Here is a 19,071-nt window from a genome sequence, read left to right on the forward strand (position 1 = left end):
TTTTTTTTTAAAGATGGGGTCTCACTATGTTTTCCAGACTGATCTCAAACTCCTGGGCTCAAGCAATCCTCCTCCCTCAGCCTCCTGAGTGGCTGGGACTACAGGTACACATCACCACCACCCTGCTAGGATATGGTAGCTTTTTAACCAAAACACACCACCATGCAATGGAGAGCATGTAACTTGTTATTTGGTCATACAAATACATCAGAATAAATTCCACCTCTCTTGTGGAGCCCTTTTTCCTACATCTGCACAGAAACTGGCACTAGCAGGACTGCAACCGAGGCAGACTCGAGAATTAGCAGACTCTGGCTCAGGCAGGACAATAGAGCAGCGGGAAATTTCTTTCAAGGGCTTTTGTTGCTGTTGTTGAGATGGAATCTTGCTGTGTCACCCAGGCTGGAGTGCAGTGGTGCTGTCTCGGCTCACTGCAATCTCCGCCTCCCAGGTTTAAACGATTCTCCTGCCTCAGCCTCTCAAGTAGCTGCGATTACAGGCATGTGCCACCATGCCCAGCTAATTTTTGCATTTTTGGTAGAGATGGGGTTTCACTATGTTGCTCAGGGAGGTCTCGAAACTCCTGACCTCAGGTGATCCGCCCACCTCGGCCTCCCAAAGTGTTGAGATTACAGGCATGAGCCACTGCGCCCGGCTTGAGACCTTGAGGGGCTTTTTAACCAAGAGATGGTGTAGGGACAGAAGCCAGCAAGAAGAACATGGTGGACTCTCTGTGAGGCCCCAAACCCCAAATCATGAGCCTCCGCCCCCTGAAAGTATTCCAGGATCTCTGAGGGAGGTTTTGGGAGGGGGCCAAGGTCCTGCAATTGGGTGGGTGGGGCTCCAAGCCATTGTTCTTTGCACATTCATGCCAATGTGACCTAATTGGCTAAGCACAGGCTGGAGAAGCTAGATAAACCTATTTAAATTCAGAGCCAAAAGACACTCAAGGATGTTTTCTGAGGGGGTGTGAGGGTTGGAAAATCATCCTATATTTGATTTATCTCCCACCTCATGTCCTGAGTCAATTCCTTAGTCTTAGATGAGGGAGACGACTTGGGAGTCATCCTTGTTTTTGATGAGCTATATAACCCTATGGCCAGCAGAGGGAAGTACTGCATTTCAGAGCGACAATTTGAGATCTATGAAAGAATTTCAATCGAGAATAAGAGGCCGGGCGCGGTGGCTCACGCCTGTAATCCCAGCTCTCAGGGAGGCTAAGAGGCGGGAGGATAGCTTGAGCCCAGGAGTTCGAGACCTGCCTGGGCAATATAGCGAGACCCCGTTCTCCAGAAAAAGGAAAAAAAAAAACAAAAGACAAAAAAAAAATAAGCGTAACTTCCCTCAAAGCAACAACCCCCCCCCCCCTTTTCATATTCTTGCCTGGAAGAAAGGCCTTGCTTTCCTCAGCTTCTTAAAGCTGGGAGAAGTTAAAGCCATTCTGAAATGCTGCTGCTACTGCTATATGTGGGGGAGAAAGCAAATTTTCTTTTTACTTTTTTAATCAGTATTTATTTTAAGTTCGAGGGTACATGTGCAGGATGTGCAGGTTTGTTACATAGGTAAACGTGTGCCATGGTGGTTTGCTGCACAGGTCAACCCATCACCTAGGTATTAAACCCAGCATCCATTAGCTATTCTTCCTGATGCTGTCCCTCCTCCCACCCCACCAACAGGACCCCAAATTTTCTTTCTTTTTTTTTTTTTTTTTTTTTTGAGATGGAGTCTAGCTCTGTCACCCAGTCTGGAATGTAATAGCTCAATCTCGGCTCACTGTAACCTCCATCTCCCAGGTTCAAGTGATTCTCCTGCCTCAGCCTTCCAAGTAACTGGGATTACAGGCATGCACTACCATGCCTGGCTAATTTTTGTATTTTTAGTAGAGACGGGGTTTCACCATGTTGGCCAGGCTGGTCTCAAACTCCTGACCTCAAATGATCCGCCTGCCTCAGCCTCCCAAAGTACTGGGATTACAGCTGTGAGCCACCGTGCCCAGCCTCCAAATTTTCTTATTTCCATGGCCTTGAGCAAAATTATACCATCCTAGACAAACACACACACACACACACACACACACCATTCTCCCCCTCTTGCTGTCTTTCTCAGATATGAGTCTCTCCTCCAATGGCCATTTTAAGCTTGCTCTTTTGCTCTGTAATACAAGGCCTGTTCCCTGTTAAAAGGAATGTCAGGCATCTGTGAGCAGGTAGGGAAAACATTGCAGGAGGCAAGTAAACTTCTCAGCATACCTGCCATCATTCATACCTTGAAGGCAGGTCAAGCCTGTAGCGTCTGAGTCTTCCATCCCTGAAGCACCAGCAGCTCTGACTAGAGGTCCTGTCTCCCAGCTGTGGCCCCAGCTCTCCCTGATGGTGACAGTTGCGACTTCCAAACTTGCTCCTCCCCATATCTGTAACTGAGCCCAGCGTACATTTGCCTCATGGGTGCCATTGGACTTCCTTTGTGAGCCATGTTTTCTTTCACCTTGTCCCAATCCACAGTTAACCAAATCTTGGCCCAAATTATGTGCTGGCTGGTGTTGGGCAGCTGTGAGACCCCTCCTTGCCCCATCTCTGTCTTCTAGGCTCTTCTGAGAACCAGTGTCCTTTGAGATCTCAGATGGGATTTAGAGGAGGGTTTCCACCCAGACCACTTTCCACAAATTTCACTTCTGCATTTCATCTGGTAGGGTGTGGTTTTCAACTAGAAGCCCAAATGAGGAAGAAAAAAATTCATTCACCATTCAGGACAGGGTGTTCACATTTGAACCAGGCAGAAATAGCTGAAAGAAACTGAATTCTAAAGGGACTCTCAGCTTTTGGGGGAGACATATTTGAGTGCAGGAGGCTAGACCACCCACTGGCTGGCTCTTTGCTCCTCACTGAGGCCAGCCTTGACTCTAAACAGATAACACAGGGCCAAAACACACCCAGCCAGCTTTGATAAGCAACCGTCTCTGCCAAACAGTTTCTTTCACAGGGCCCAGATGATCTCATCACAGAGGCTGCATTCTCTGGTATCTGTTCCAAGCACAGACTCACTTCTCATTACCTTTGCAAATAATAGTCAATCTATCCTGAGAAGCTCCTTTATATCCCATACTGGGCTAAGGTCTGAAGAGGGTACAGTTAAAGAACCCATGATCTCAGACTGGGCATGGCAGCTCATGCCTATAATCCCAGCACTTTTGGGAGGCCAAGGCAGGAGGACCGCTTTAGCCCAGGAGTCCAAGACCAGCCTGGGCAACATAGTGAGAACTCTTGAGACCTTGTCTCTACAAAAAATAAACAAAATTAGCCATGCATGGTGGCTTGCACCTGCCTGTAGGAAGCTGAAGCAGGTGAGCCTGGGACGCAAAGGTTGCAGTGAGCCAAAATCGCACCACTGCACTCCAGCCTGCGCGACAGAGACTGTCTCACAAAAAAGAAAAGAAAAGAAAAAAAAAAAAGGACCCATGATTCCTCATGAAGCTTGCCTCTGGATCTAATTCATGGTTCTCTATTTCCACAAGCTTTGTGGAGCAAGGGGCTCATGACACTTCATCTTTATGGTACAGATAACTCACCGAAACTGGATTCCTTTAGCTACTGGTCCCACACCACTCCCTCCAGGAGCCACCTTCCCTCTCCATGTTTTTCTCATGAATTTTGAACCGGCCATTTCTATTTTATTTTATTTTACATTTATTTATTTATTTATGGAGACAGAGTTTCACTCTTGTCACCCAGGCTGGAGTGCAGTGATGCTATCTTGGCTCACTCCAACCTCCACCTCCCAGGTTCAAGTGGTTCTCCTGCCTCAGCCTCCCAAGTAGCTGGGAGTACAGGCACGTGCCACCACACTCGGCTAATTTTTGTATTTTTAGTAGAGACGGGATTTCTCCATGTTGGCCAGGCTGATCTCGAACTCCTGACCTCAGGTGATCCACCCGTCTCGGCCTCCTAAAGTGCTAGGATTACAGGTGTGAGCCACTGCGCCCAGCCAAAATAAAAATAGATTTTAAAAATGAAAATAAAAATAACATAATAAGATGAACACCACCTCGGTGATCTGTGGGATAGTATCAAGTGGTCTAACATAATTGGAGCCCCCCCAAAATGAGGGAAGGCTAAAAAAAAAAAGCCAAAATTTTTCTAAACTTGAAACTGTTTAAAGCAAAAAATAATAACAATGCCTTATGAGGTTTATAACATATGTAGAAATAAAATGAATAATCATAATAGCCCATCAGGGGGCTGAGGTGGGAGGATTGCCTGAGCCCAGGAGTTTAAGGCTGTGATGCACTATGATCATGCCTGTGAATGGCCTCTGCACTCCAGCCTGGACAACATAGTGAGACTCTGTCTCCAAAGAAAAAATGGAGGAAAAAAGAAAAAGAAAAAGAAAGAAAATAATGGCCCAAAGGATAGAAGAGAAGAAATGAGAATAGACTGTTATAAAGCTCTTCGATTTTGTGTGGAGGAGTATAATAACATTTGAAGGTATTCTGGGTTAAGCAGTTTATCCGAGGTGTCACATATGATGGAGCTAGGATCCAAATTAAGCTTTCCAGATTCAAAGCTTTTTGTGGGGAGAGGAGATGTGAGGTTAGGCTCACACATGCCACAAGACAGTTTCCCCAAAGGCTGCGGGAATTAAGTGCTTTCATCTCTGTAGTGGGTATTCCCTCAAAAGACGTGTTCAAGTCCTAACCTCCATACCCAAGAGAGTCAGCTTACTTGGAAATAGGCTCTTTGCAGACGTAATCAAGTCATACTGAGTTAGGGTAAAGCCTAACCCAATGACTGGTGTCCTTATTATAAAGGGGGGGGTGCGGTACCAGGTGTGGTGGCTCACATCTGTAATCCCAACACTTTGGGAGGCCAAGGCCAGTGGATCACCTGAGGTCAGGAGTTCAAGACCAGCCTGGCCAACATGGTGAAACCCTGTCTCTACTAAAAATACAAAAATTAGCCGGGCATGGTGGCAGGCACCTGTAGTCCCAGCTACTCGGGAGGCTGAGGCAGGAGAATCACCGGAGCCCGGGAGACAGAGATTGCAGTTAGCCGAGATTGCACCATTGCACTCCAGCCTGGGTGACAGAGCAAGACTCCATCTCAAGAAAAAAAAAAAAAAAAAAAAGGACATTTGAACACAGAGAAGACACACAGGGAAAATGCCATGCAATGATAGATATCTATAAGCTGAGGAACACGCCCAGAAGTAAGAAAGAGGCAAGGAAGGCTCTCTGAGAGCCTTCAGAGAGTGTGAGGCCCTGCCCAACACCTAGATTTTGGACTTCTGACCTTCAGAACCAGAGAGAATATATTTCTGGGTTTTGTTTGTTTTTTTGTTTTTCTGAGATGGAGTTTTGCTCTTGTTGCCCAGGCTGGAGTGCAGTGGCATGATTTTGGCTCACCGCAATCTCCACCTCCCAGGTTCAAGCGATTCTCCTGCCTCAGCCTCCCAAGTAGCTGGGATTACAGGCGCCCGCCACCATGCCCGGCTAATTTTTTCGTATTTTCAGTAGAGATGGGGTTTCTCCATGTTGGTCAGGCTGGTCTCGAACTCCTGACCTCAGGTGATCCTCCCACCTCAGCCTCCCAAACTGCTAGGATTACAGGCATGAGCCACCATGCCCGGCCATATTTCTGTTGTTTTAAGCCACCTTGTCTGTGGCATTTTGTTACAGCAGCCCTAGGGAACTAATACAATCTCTAAAACTTCCTCTTTTTGATGCTCCCAGTCTTTAGAATGTAAAGAAGCTCCGCCCCTACCCATGCATGGGCCAAGTATAAAGTGAGTGTTGATAGCAGGATATTAAGTTGACAAAATAAACCAGATTCAGGATCTAAGAGCCACAGGGGAAAATCATGAAGTGGGGACTGGTTGGACTGGTTTTTCTCATAAATCTCAATGACTTTGATCCCAACCAGGTGGAATTTTAAAGTTAATTGATTTAGGGAGGAACACCTGAGCAGCTGCACCGTGTGTGAGCCCTGTGCTAGGCCCAGTGGGGAAGCCAGGTGAGTCAGGTGCTGCTGCCTTACGGGAGCTCATAGGATTCGCCTCTACAGAAGGTGTGATGGAACAGGTCAGTCACTAGCCAAGGTGTGAGTAACAGGCTGTGCAAGTTCAAAATCAAGAGAGTGATTCATTTCCCCTGGGGGAGCATCAGCCAGACTGCTTCACTGAGGAGAAGGCAGTGGCGACATCTCTCTAAATATCTGACTGTGGAATCCATAGCCCAGAGAAGGTCTTGTGTGTCGATTAGAGACAAGCAAAGGAAAACAAATCTACCAGGAATGCTGGTGTTTTCCTGGAGAGTGTTTCACTGATCACGGGGTAGTGCTCTTTGCTCAGTGGAGAGGTACAAAGCTGTCTAGCCCCTGCTTGCTCTGAGGGGGAATTCTCTGGGCTCTCGGAACCTCTTATTTTCCCTTCTGGTTCTCCACTTGGGGTGAGTGCTTATCACCACCTTCTGTAGAGATTGAGGAAAGTGGAGAAGGTACACAGAGGCTTTGGAGTTGCTAGCGATCTCAATGACATCTTGTAAGAGAGCTGGTGGCTCAAGAAGGAGAGAGCAGGCCCTTGTGTTGCATTTGCAGGATCTGGGGCAATAGTACAGCCCACATATCTAAGCTCCATTTACGTTGCCAAAAATAGCATAGGCCACACATCTAAGCTCCATCTACATTGACACTCCATGACCCCACGTGGGCCACCCCAGTGTCATGGCCCAGTCTGGAGAAGTGACCCTGCGAAAAAGCTGTGTATGCCCTGTAGGTAGACTTGACCCTTCTGTGCAAGAAATTTTGATGTCCTGCGAGCACCCAGAATGGTCTAGGAGAGAGGGAACAGGCTCCAGTGGACATATTCTCTTCGCCCTGTTGACTCCCTCCTCCATGGGAAGAGACTTGGCTTAAACAAGCCTAGAGCAGGTCTGTTTAAGGTCTGGGGCCCTGAGTAGGAATCTACTTACCCACGTCGAAGGTAGAATTGGGAAGAAGCACTGTTATAAACTCAACAGAAAGTGATACTGAGTTTCATTTTTTTTTTTTTTTTTTTTTTTGGAGACAGTCTTGCTCAGTCGCCCAAGCTGGAGTGCAGTGGTGTGATCTCGGCTCACTGCAAGCTCCGCCTCCTGGGTTCACGCCATTCTCCTGCCTCAGCCTCCTGAGTAGCTGGGACTACAGGCGCCCACCACCACGCCTGGCTAATTTTTGTGTTTTTAGTAGAGACGGGGTTTCACCATGTTGGCCAGGATGGTCTCTATCTCCTGACCTCGTGATCCGCCCGCCTCGGCCTCCCAAAATGCTGAGATTACAGGTGTGAGCCACTGCACCTGGCCAATACTGAGTTTCTTGGTTTTGCTCTGGAACTAGACTAATGAATTCCAATCCTCATGGAAGCCCTGTGTGAAGCATTTCATGGAGAAAAATTTGTATGATGCAGTGGTTTGCAAATGGGGGAAATTTGGCATACAGTGACATTTGGTGATGTCTATAGGCATTTTGCATTGTCATAATTGGAGGATACTGCAAGACGTCTGGTGGGTAGAGGCCAGGGATATTGCAAAATATCCTACTATGTTGCCCTGCAGGATAGCACCCCATAAGAAACAATGATTTTGGCCGGGCATGGTGGCGCACGCCTGTAATTCCAACAGTTTGGGAGGCCGAGGAGGGCAGATCACTTGAGGTTAGGAGTTTGAAACCAGCCTGGACAACATGGTGAAACCCCATCTCTACTAAAAATACAAATAAATTAGCCGGGTGTGGTGGCAGGCACCTGTAATCCCAGCTACTCTGGAGGCTGCGGCAGGAGAATTGCTTGAACGGGGAGGTGGAGGTTGCAGTAAGCCGAGATCGTGCCACTGTACTCTACCCTGGGCAACAGAGCAAGACTCCGTCTCTAAATAAATAAATAAATAAAAATAAAATAAAATAAAAGAAACAATGATTTGGCCCCAAATATCAATAGTGCTGAGGTTTGAGAAATGAATTTTTAGTACCCTTAGCACATGGTTTGGACTTGTTTGCTGCAGGATGCTGGGCCTGGAAGATATAAGATTGCAAGTAGCCACGGCTCCTAAAGAATGACTGAGTGGCTGCTTCCAGAAAAGTAGGTCAGAATCAGCAGAAAAACAACTTAATGAGGCCGGGCGCGGTGGCTCACGCCTGTAATCCCAGCACTTTGGGAGGTCGAGGCGGGTGGATCACGAGGTCAGGAGTTCGAGACCAGCCTGGCCAACATGGTGAAACCCCGTCTCTACTAAAAACACAAAAATTAGCCAGGCGTGGTGGTGGGCGCCTGTAGTCCCAGCTACTCGGGAGGCTGAGGCAGAAGAATTGCTTGAACCCCGGAGGCGGAGATAGATGGCAGTGAGCCAAGACTGTGCCACTGCACTCCAGCCTGGGCAACAGAGCACGACTCCATGTCAAAACAAAACAAAAAAAAAATTAATGGTGTACTTGGGACTATACTATCAGCCTCAACAAATAGACTTGGGGCCCAGCAGCTGTGCCAAGCTCCCGAAGACCCACCAGCCTGAACTGTCCATCCCTTTTCCTCATGCAACTTTGCCACCCACATCACCCACCATCCCTCACCTTTGGTCTTCACTGGGGCAGCTCTCCATTCAACTAACTCCCCCGCGCTTAAGTTAATTATCTGAGTTTTCTTTGCAGCTTAATACTTACCAGGCCTCATGGTGTCTACTCTTCTTTTTTCTTTTTTTTCCCAGACAGAGTTTTGCTCTTATTGCCCAGGCTGGGGTGCAATGGTGCCATCTCGGCTCACTGCAACCTCCGCCTCCCAGGTTCAAGCGATTCTCCTGCCTCAGCCTCCCGAGTAGCTGGAATTATAGGCATGTGCCACCACGCCCGGGTAATTATGTATTTTTAGTAGAGAAGGGGTTTCTTTCATGTTGGTCAGGCTGGTCTCAAACTCCCAACCTCAGGTGATCAACCTGCCTCAGCCTCCCACAGTACTGGGATTACAGAAATGAGCCATTGCACCTGGCCCAGTGTCTACTTTTCTTTATCAGGCTAAACAGCTCAGGACACAGATAGAATTTGGACTTAGGTCCGTGTGAATCCAAAGGGCCATGCTCAACTGAGCAGCCGGCACTGCCTCGCTGAACAGCCAGGATTCTGGGAGTGCTACTTTGTACAACATTTTATGAAATGTTTCTGGCCTCCTTCTAGACCAGAGCAGAAAGGGGTGGTTAGGATGTTCTAAATACCAACCCCCTCTACTCCATCCCCAGGTTCATGACAACTTTTTAAGCTGAGCATACTGCAATCACTTAATTCTTCTAGACCTAAGATAAGCCAGTAGCCACGTCCACTCTGAGCCTGTGAGCAGGCAGGATCAAGTCTAAGAGCATCTCTTCTTTGGAATCTTAAGGCCTAGGATCCCAGCAGTTTTGGGGTCTAAAGACTTTTCAGGCTCCCGAAACTCCCTCTATTTTTAATAATTTTAAATGTTTCCCCAATACTTAGCTAAGCAAAGAAGGAAAAAGTGTACTTTTATTACACAGTCAGTTCTGGATAATTCTAGGGGAAATTCTTCCATTTTAGAAATCTCTGCTTTCTTCTTTTCTCCCAGATTCTTCTCATTAATTCCCTCAGTAAATATTTGTCTGTGGCAGGGTGCAGTGCTCGTGCCTGTAATCCCAGCACTTTTGGAGGCTGAGGTGGACGAATCACCTGAGGTCAGGAGTTTGAAACCAGCCTGGCCATCATGGTGAAACCTCGTCTCTACTAACAGCACAAAAATTAGCTGGGCATGGTGGTGCGTGCCTGTAATCCCAGCTACTTGGGAGGCTGAGGCAGGAGAATTGCTTGAACCAGGAGGCGGAGGTTGCAGTGAGCCAAGATCACGCCACTGCATGCCAGCCTGGGTGACAGAGCAAGACTCTGTCTCGGGAAAAAAAAAAAAAAAAAACTATATATACATACATACATATATATATATATATATATAAAATGTACATATATATTTATCTGGCACCTACTAGATGCCCCAGGTACCATGGTAGGCACAGGTGTACAGTGATGAAGAGCATTTTCCTATAAAATATTACCCAGGCTGACTCCAAGTTTTAATACCTCAGGTAGGAAAAGGAGGAGAGTGTTAGTAAAATGTTTGCCGTTGAATTTCACCAGCGTAAAAACAACATTCTGGGAAATAATTATCTGCACTTCAGTTCTTTGGGGTGGTACCGGAGGGAATCTTTACAAAGGTGGTATTAATGGAGAAGAGGAAGGGAAGGATCCTTAGTGATGGGTTGTTTTTCCAAGCACCTCGATCTAGTGGATTTCCTTTTTTTTTTTTTGAGATGGAGTTTCGTTTTTGTCGCCCAGGCTGGAGTGCAATGGCGCGATCTCGGCCCACTGCAACCTCCGCCTCCCAGGTTCAGGCGATTCTCCAGCCTCAGCCTCCGGAGTAGCTGGGATTACAGGCACTCACCACCACGCCCAGCTAATTTTTGTATTTTTAGTAGAGACGGGGTTTTGCCATGTTGGCCAGGCTGGTCTCAAACTGATCCGCCCACATTGGCCTCCCAAAGTGCTGGGATTATAGGTATGAGCCACCACGCCCAGCCAGTATTTCCTATAAATAAATGCTCCTATAAATAAATAGTACAAATACCTTTCCAAATCTGAGAACTACTAGTGAGCATCAGTTTTAGAGATAAATAGAACAAAGCTCCTTTTCTGCAGTAAGAATATATTAGCTTAATGTTGCTTTTTAAAAAAGTTTCCACTGACCTTAAAAACACTGAAATCCAAGAAATTGGATTCTGGAATCTGAGGGCGAGGGAATCCCAGGGTTGTGGACACGCGGTCACATCAACAACAAAAACAAAAAGGAAATGAAAAAAAAAAAGGGACAGCAGCCTGAAATACTAAGAATCCAGGTCCCTGCAGGAAGCCCAGGGGACTGCCAGGAACACAGCCCCATCCCGGCCACGTGATCATTCTCTAGCCTTCCCCTGGGGCCTGGAGACAAAGGAGAGGGGAGGAGACTTGGGGACAAAGAGCAAGAGCTGTAGAGTCTAGCCCTGGGGTGAGGATGCCACGGCTACCCGGCTGTGAGTTTCTGCCTTTGTTTTTTGATCTTTCCCAAAGGAAGTTAAACATTAATCCGAGCTGTAAAAGGACTAAGTAAGCAAAGGTGCCTGTGAGAACCTCTAAGGCACCTGGTCATCCAGTCTGCCCGCCACACTGAGAGCAAAGCGTAAAGGGGAAAGGCTTTCACAACCAGCTCGAGCCCCCAGCCCCTCCTTTCGGGGTTCTTCCCTGCCTTTCAGAGTCTCCCCTCCCACTTCTCCTTTGGATCTCTGGGCGAACCTCTTTCCTTTCTGCCTCCATCTTAGCATTTATGCCTTAAGTTGCTGTCCCTATGCTGAAATAAATTCATTACAGAAAAGTATGCTCCCTGATAAATGGGTATCAGGTAACGACCAATGGTGAGAAGGGAGATAGTTTTTGTTCTTTGATGTTGTTTAAAAAAATTGCAAATGTCATGACAACGAGGCCAGTCAAGAAGACAAGGTGAAAGCCGGACAGAGATTCAGGTCCTTGCATGGCTGTGGAATCCATTTCCTCTGGGTACAGTGAAACTGCTTCCCCTAGCTTCCATTTATGATGATTTCCATTATTTGGAACGTTTGTTACTCTTTCTCTCTCTTTCTGTCACACACATGGGTACAGTGAGAGCTAGATGCAGTTTAGAAACCAAATCTCTGTTGAACAGACTGTTAATTTAAATTTTTGAAAACAAGGAAAAAGGAATAAAAATTCTAGTTCTGTAGTTCAGTGTTGAGTTTATTTTCCTTGTCTTGTTATTAGGAGTTTTGCCTTTGTCTCCTACCTGCTTCTGTTCCTCTCTGATTTCTCTTGTGGCTGATGGAGAGGAATTTTGGTATTGCATGTTCTTCTGAGACTCCTGGCGATGCTTTCCCAATTATAGAGCGAAAATACTCATTATGAGGCCAGTTTTAAAAATGGCCAGCTAGGCAGATATAAGGTTTTTCATGGTTGTTTAATTAATCTGTAATTAGCTCTGAGGGCACCACTTTTCTTTAATTTTGTTTTTGTTTGTTTCTTTGTTTGTTTTTGTAATGGAGATACTTACCTACAATAGGCTGAACACAGTGAGTCACACCTGTAATCCTATCACTTTGGGAGGCCAGGCTGGAGAATAGTTTGAAGCCAGGAATTTGGGTCCAGCCTGGGAAACATAGTGAAACCCAAGTCTCAAATAAAAATAAAAATAATAATTTACATATAATAAAACGCACAGCTCTTAGAGGTACAGAGAGTGTTGACAAATGCATACACGTGTGTAGCCCACACCTCTATCAAAATATAGAACATTTCCATCACCTCCTAAGGATTTCCTCATGCCTTTTCCCAAGGGAGGGGACTCCCAACTCCCTCCCTGTCCCAGGCAACTTTGTTCTGATTTCTGTCACCATAGATTAGCTTTGCTTGTTTTAGAATTCTGTATCAATGGACTAATACAGTGTGTACTCTTTTATATATGGCTTTTATTACTTAGCATAATGCTCTGAGGTTTCTCCGTGTTGTTGCAGATATCCGTAGTTCCTTCTGACCTTCAAAACAAAGGTACCTTTGATGGAAAACCCCCACAATTTATTAAGTGCCCTATGTATAGGATCTGTTCGTAGGCACTGTGCTTGGTGTTGAAGAAGTGCAGTGGCTTTCTTCTGTGTCAACTTAGCTGAGCTGGAACATTTCCCAGAATTCCTGTCCCTGTATATTCTGGGTTAGCGTTGGCTACCAGAGAAATTTGCAGTGTTTGGAAGGTGTAGGAAACAGCAGCCTTTTTTCTTTTTTACTGCTCTGAAGGTAAAGCGCAGGCAGCAGGCACTGAGGCAGCTCCCATGCATTGTTCCAGTGACGCTTAGTTCACCGGCATGAGGCTGTATCTGGACCGCGGCTCCCCTAGCCCCATCAGAACTTCATCAGCACTCCTAGCATGTAGGTTCAAAGTGGGGAGAAGTAGACCTGGGTTCCAGTTGTCCTTGTGAGTTTCCATGTGTCCTCACTCTCATTCAGGTCCAGCTTTCTTTTCCGACGCCAGTGAGACCACAGAGACTTTAGGCTAAACAAACTAGATACAGAGGCAGCAGTCTTGTTGTTTTCCACCAGTTCCCACAATTGTGTGATTCTATATCATCCCTATATAAGTCCCTTATTCTCTATCCTTCCTAATGGCTCTGCTTCTCTGATCAAATCCTGACTGATTCAGGAGAGACATCAGCATCCATGTGGACAACACATCCAGCCAAACCAGCTTGGCCTCCTGGCTGCTTAGATTTGGAAGCCATTCGTGGTTACCTGCTATCCACTTCCGCAGTCCTCTGCTGCAGCCACGCACTGGACACTAAGAACCCTTGGAACTGCTCCACCTCTCCATCTCCCTGCTCAAATTTCGGGTTCCTCCCATTTTCTTACTCCCTTTCTCTCACTTACCTGCCCTTGGACCTCATCTAGAATTCCTGCCCTTGGCTTCTCCTTTTTGTCTCAGTCCATCAGCCTCCTCCAGCTTCCTTGTACCTCCTCTCCAATCTATACCTCACTGAATATCACCTTACCCACTTGCCTGCCAGGAGCTTCGGTGCTGTTAAGAAAAATTATTGGCTGGGCACAGCGGCTCATGCCTGTAATCCCAACACGTTGGGAGGCCGAGGCAGGCGGATCACCTGAGGTCAGGCATTCAAGACCAGCCTGGCCAACATGATGAAACCCTGTCTCTACTAAAAGTACGAAAAATTAGCCGGGCTTGGTGGCAGATGCCTGTAATCCCAGCTACTTGAGAGGCTGAGGCAGGAGAATCGCTTGAACCCAGGAGGCGGAGGTTGCAGTGAGCCAAGATCGTACCACTGCACTGCAGCCTGGGAGACAAGAGAAAAACTGTGTTAAAAAAAAAAAAAAAAAGAGAGAGAGTCCGGGCACAGTGGCTCATGCCTGTAATCCCAGCACTTTGGGAGGCCAAGGTGGGTGGATCACCTAAGGTCAGGAGCTCAAGACCAGCTTGACCAGCATGGAGAAACCCCGTCTCTACTAAAAAAATACAAAATTAGCCAGGTGTGCTGGTGGTCGCCTGTAGTCCCAGATGCTCAGGAGGCTGAGGCAGGAGAATTGCTTGAACCTGGGAGGTGGAGGTTGTGGTGAGCCGAGATCGTGCCATTGCACTCCAGGTTGGGCAAGAAGAGTGTGAAACTCTGTCTCAAAAAAAAAAAAAAAAAAATGTATCCAAAACTTGGAAACAAGAAAAGAGGATGACTGCATGTCCTTTCAAAGTTGTTTAATGTGGTTTACAGGCTCACTCAAGGATTATTTAATTATTTAGAAGAATAAATCCTCTTAGAACCCTGGGTTTTTAGGCCAAAGTCTCACCTATTTATTTTCTTTTTTTTTCTTTTCTTTTTTTTTTTTTTTTTGAGGTGGAATCTCGCTCTGTTGCCCAGGCTGGAGTGCAGTGGCACAATCTCAGCTCACTGCAACCTCTGCCTCCCGGGTTCAAGCAATTCTCCTGCCTCAGCCTCCGGAGTAGCTGGGACTACAGGCACATGCCACCATGCTTGGCTAATGTTTCTATTTTTAGTAGATACAGGGTTTCACCATGTTGGCCAGGATGGTCTCAATCTCTTGACCTCGTGATCCAACCATCTCGACCTACCAAAGTGCTGGGATTACAGGCGTGAGGCACTGCGCCTGGCCAGCCTCACCTATTTCATTATATTCCCTTAAATGTACAGTCATGGGTCACTTCACAATGGGGATACATTCTGAGAAATGTGTTGTTAGGTGATTTTGTGGTTGTGCAAGCATCATACAGTGTGCTTACCCAAACTTGGATGATGTAGCCTGCTATACAACTAGGCTATATGGTGTAGCTTATTGTTCCTAGGCTATAACCTGCATAACATGTTACTGTACTAAGTACTGTAGACAGTTGTAGCACAATGGTAAGTATTTGTGTATCTAAACATACTTCAACAGAAAAGGTACAGTAAAAATATGGTATAACAGATTAAAAATGGTACATCCATATAGGGAAGTTACCATGAATGGAACTTGCAGGACTGGAAGTGAGTGAGTGAGTGGGTGAGTGAATGTGAAGTCCTAGGATATGATCATACACTACTATAGACTTTATAAATGCTGTACACTTAGGCTACATGAAATTAAAAATATATCTTTTTCTTGGACGGGCATGGTAGCTCATGTCTGTAATCCCAGCACTTTGGGAGGCCGAGGTGGGTGGGTCACTTGAGATCAGCAATTCAAGACCAGCCTGGCCAACATGGTGAAACCCTGTCTCTACCAAAATATACAAAAATTAGCCACATGTGATGGCGTGTGTATGTAGTCCCAGCTACTCGGGAGGCTGAGGTAGGAGAATCGCTTGAACCTGGGAGGCAGAGGTTGCAGTGAGCAGAGATAGCACCATTGCACCCCAGCCTGGGCAACAGAGTGAGACCCTGTCTCAAAATAAATAAACAAATAAAAATAAAAAGATGTCCAGTGCCTAATCTAATCAACATTGATTGGAAAGGCAGATGATTAAGCACAAATAAAGCCTGTTTAGTCAAGAAATTTACTATTGGATACATAAGATGAATCTATATATAAAAATGAAAAGGCAATGTTAGAGCTATGTAGGAATGAATGCAAATTAATAAAATGTCATTGGAGTAAGAACAGAACTTACTGACAAGACAAGATTTCCATTGAAATCTTAGTGTGTGTGGCTTTTTTTTTTTTTAGATGGAGTCTTGCTCCGTTGCCCAGTCTGAAGTGCAACGGCTCGATCTCTGCTCACTGCAACCTCCACCTCCCGGGCTTAAGCAATTCTCCTGCCTCAGCCTCCTGAGTAGCTGGGATTACAGGCACCCATCACTACGTCTGGCTAATTTTTGTATTTTTAGTAGAGACGGGTTTTCACCATGTTGCCCAGACTGGTCTTAAACTCCTGACTTCAAATGATCCACCAGCCTCAGCCTCCCAAAGTGCTGGGATTACAGGCATGAGCCACTGTGCCCAGCCATCCTAGTGATTTTTTTAATCTATATATATATATATATATATATATATTTTTTTTTTTTTGAGACAGGTCTCGCTCTATCACCCAGGCTGAAGTACAATGGCACAATCATGGCTCATTGCAGCCTCGATCTCCCAAGCTAAAGCGATCCTTCCACCTCAGCGTCCCAAGTAGCTGAGGCTACAGGTGTGTGCCACCATACCCATTTAGTTTTTTTAAATTTATTTTTCTTTTGTAGAGACAGGGTCTCACCATGTTACCCAGGTTGGTCTTGAACTCCTGGGCTCAAGCGATCCTCCAAGGCCTCCCACCTCAGCCTCCCAAAGTTCTAGGATTATAGGTATGAGCCACTGTGGCCCCTCTAGATTTTTAAATGATGTTATTATTTGCAGTAATTCTTCAATTCATAGGAACTTAATCTCAGGGCACAGCAAGAGACAGAACTTCAATGCATTTTTTTTTTTTTTTTTTTTTTGAGACAGAGTCTCACCCTGTCGCCCAGGCTGGAGTGCAATGGTGCGATCTCAGCTCACTGCAAGCTCCGCCTCCTGGGTTCACACTGTTCTCCTGCCTCAGCCTCCCGAGTAGCTGGGACTACAGGCATCTGCCACCACGACCAGCTAATTTTTTTTTTGTATTTTTGGTAGAGACAGGGTTTCGCCCTGTTAGCAAGAATGGTCTTGATCTCCTGACCTCCTTCGTGATCCACCCACCTCGGCCTCCCAAAGTGCTGGGATTACAGGCATGAGCCACCACGCCTGGCAATGCATTTTTTAAATAACCATTTTTTCCCATACCATTGAATGAATTATCCATCTCTTTCCAGGGGAATGAAATTCCCCTGTAAAGATGAGCCCTTGACTCACACCTCTAATCCCAGCACTTTGGGAGGCTAAGGCGGGCGGATCACTGGAGGCCAGGAGTTTGAGACCATCCTGGCCAACATGGTGGAAACCTGTCTCTGCTAAAAATGCAAAAAGCAGTCAGGCATAGTGCATGCACCTGTAGTCTCAGCTACCCGGGAGTCTGAGGCACTAGAATCACTTGAACCTGGGAGGTAGAGGTTGCAGTGAGCCAAGACAGCACTACTGCACTCCAATCTAGGTGTGGAGAGACACTCTGTCTCATTAAAAAAAAAAAAAAAAAAAGATGAGCCCTCAATTACAAACTTCTTTTGGGATCAATATCAATCAGAAGTTATTAAGTGCTATAGTTTGTCTGATGCAGAAGTAAACATTTAAAGTTTTGACATAAACTTTAGGGTTGGCAAGAGCATTAAGTGAGTTAATGCATACATGTTAGCTATTACATCACAAATCACTGAAATGTTGTAGTTTAATGTCAAATTATTACAAGTTGCTAAAATAGACTTGCATGGGAATCTAAAGTACAGTAAAAATAATGCTTAATTATTAGCCAAAGTGCTCTCTCAGCTAAAATGTTTACTCATTGGTCTGCCATGAATGCTTTCAAATAACAATCATTCTTTTTGGTGTTCAGGAAAAGATCAGTATCCAGACTTAAATTTGGGAGCTCTGAAAGGAAAGCAATGAACTTTCCCTCCAACACTTTTGGATGTTTTTATGTACTCCCTCAACCCCATGGGCCCCCACGGTACCCTTATGATACTTTTGGGAACCATGATGTCTCTTTCTTCTGAAAAGCTCAATGCTGCACTCTGGTACTATTGCCTGATATTAATATGTAGTTATTTATTTTTTAACTTTATGTGTATGTCTGATCCCTCCCAACTGGGATGGAAGCTTCTCAAGAACAGGATCTGACTTGGCACAGTGGCTCACGCCTGTCATCCCAGCACTTTGGAAGGCTTAGGCAGGAGGATCACTTGCACTCAGCAGTTTGAGATCTGCCTGGACAACATGACGGAACCACGTCTCCACAAAAAAACACAAAAATTAGCTGGGTGTGGTAGCGCTTGCCTGTAATCCCAGCTACTCAGGAGGCTGAGGTGGGAAGATTGGTTAAGCCTGGGAGGTTGAGGCTGTAGGGAGCCATGATTGTGCCATTGCACTTCCAGCCTGGGCATGACTCTGACTAAAAAAAAAAAAAAAAAGTAAATAAGTTACAAATTAATACCATACGAGCCTGTGCTTCATTACAGTGATTAGAAAGGTCCTAAAAGGCTCTGATGCCTGAAATATGTCTCTCAAAGACATGCTTCTGTGCCTTAGAGCCTCCACTATTGCTTACTTCTTTTATTTTTATTTACGTATGTATGTATGTATGTATGTATGTATTTATTTATTTTTGAGACAGAATCTTGCTCTTGTTGCCCAGGCTGGAGTGCAGTGGCGTGATCTCAGCTCACTGCAACCTCTGCCTCCCAGGTTCAAGCAATTCTCCTGCTTCAGCCTCCCAAGTAGCTGGGATTACAGGTGTCCGCCACCATGCGTGGCTAATTTTTTTGTATTTTTAGTAGAGATGGGTTTTCACCATGTTGGCCAGGCTGGTCTTAAACTCCTGACCTCAGGTGATTGCCCACCTCGGCCTCCCAAAGTGCTGGGATTACAGGTGTGAGCCACCGTGCCCGGCCATGTATTTATTTTTTTGAGACAGGGTCTCGCTCTCTTGCCCAGGCTGGAGTGCAGTGGTGTGATTATGGTTCATGGCGGCCTCAGCCTCCTAGGCTCAAGAGATCCTCCTACCTCAGCCTCCTGAGTAGCTGGGACCACAGGCACCACCACATTAGCCACCACGCCTGGATGATTTTTTATTTTTATTTTTTGAGACAGAGTTTTGCTCTTGTTGCCCAGGCTGGAGTGCAATGGCGTGATCTTGGCTCACTGCAACCTCCACCTCCTGGGTTCAAGCGATTCTCCTGCCTCAGCCACCCTAGTAGCTGAGATTACAGGCATGTGCCACCATGCCCAGCTAATTTTGTATTTTTAATAGAGATGGGGTTTCTCCATGTTGGTCAGGCTGGTCTTAAACTCCCGACCTCAGGTGATTTGCCCACCTCGGCCTCCCAAAGTGCTGGGATTA

General features: G+C 46.0%; 2 long non-coding RNA genes across 3 annotated transcripts in view, besides 4 other annotated features; one reads left to right on the forward strand and one right to left on the reverse strand.

Annotated features, from left to right (window-relative positions):
• The window catches only part of EPCAM-DT (EPCAM divergent transcript), a 152,670-nt gene extending 141,739 nt beyond the window's left edge, over positions 1-10,931 (reverse strand). For both annotated transcript variants that reach the window (NR_110208.1, NR_110207.1), the window contains exon 1: positions 10,758-10,931. This is a non-coding gene — a long non-coding RNA (EPCAM divergent transcript). The remainder of the gene's footprint in view (positions 1-10,757) is intronic.
• Positions 603-652: a silencer, noted in NCBI's record as "silent region_11463". NCBI's record gives its function as "represses an Ori minimal core promoter by ATAC-STARR-seq in GM12878 lymphoblastoid cells {active_cell/tissue: GM12878}" and the evidence as "EXISTENCE:reporter gene assay evidence [ECO:0000049][PMID:35858748]".
• BCYRN1 (brain cytoplasmic RNA 1) lies at positions 1,172-1,371 on the forward strand. Its single transcript, NR_001568.1, has one exon. It is a non-coding gene; the product is annotated as a brain cytoplasmic RNA 1 (long non-coding RNA).
• Positions 2,530-2,619: an enhancer, noted in NCBI's record as "active region_15731". NCBI's record gives its function as "activates an Ori minimal core promoter by ATAC-STARR-seq in GM12878 lymphoblastoid cells {active_cell/tissue: GM12878}" and the evidence as "EXISTENCE:reporter gene assay evidence [ECO:0000049][PMID:35858748]".
• Positions 2,807-3,101: an enhancer, noted in NCBI's record as "tiled region #12385; K562 Activating DNase matched - State 5:Enh". NCBI's record gives its function as "activates a minimal TATA promoter and a strong SV40 promoter by Sharpr-MPRA in K562 cells {active_cell/tissue: K562}" and the evidence as "EXISTENCE:reporter gene assay evidence [ECO:0000049][PMID:27701403]".
• Positions 5,947-6,241: a silencer, noted in NCBI's record as "tiled region #1814; K562 Repressive non-DNase unmatched - State 8:EnhW". NCBI's record gives its function as "represses a minimal TATA promoter and a strong SV40 promoter by Sharpr-MPRA in K562 cells {active_cell/tissue: K562}" and the evidence as "EXISTENCE:reporter gene assay evidence [ECO:0000049][PMID:27701403]".

This window comes from Homo sapiens, chromosome 2, assembly GCF_000001405.40.
Source record: "Homo sapiens chromosome 2, GRCh38.p14 Primary Assembly".
Taxonomy (NCBI): Eukaryota; Metazoa; Chordata; class Mammalia; order Primates; family Hominidae; genus Homo; species Homo sapiens.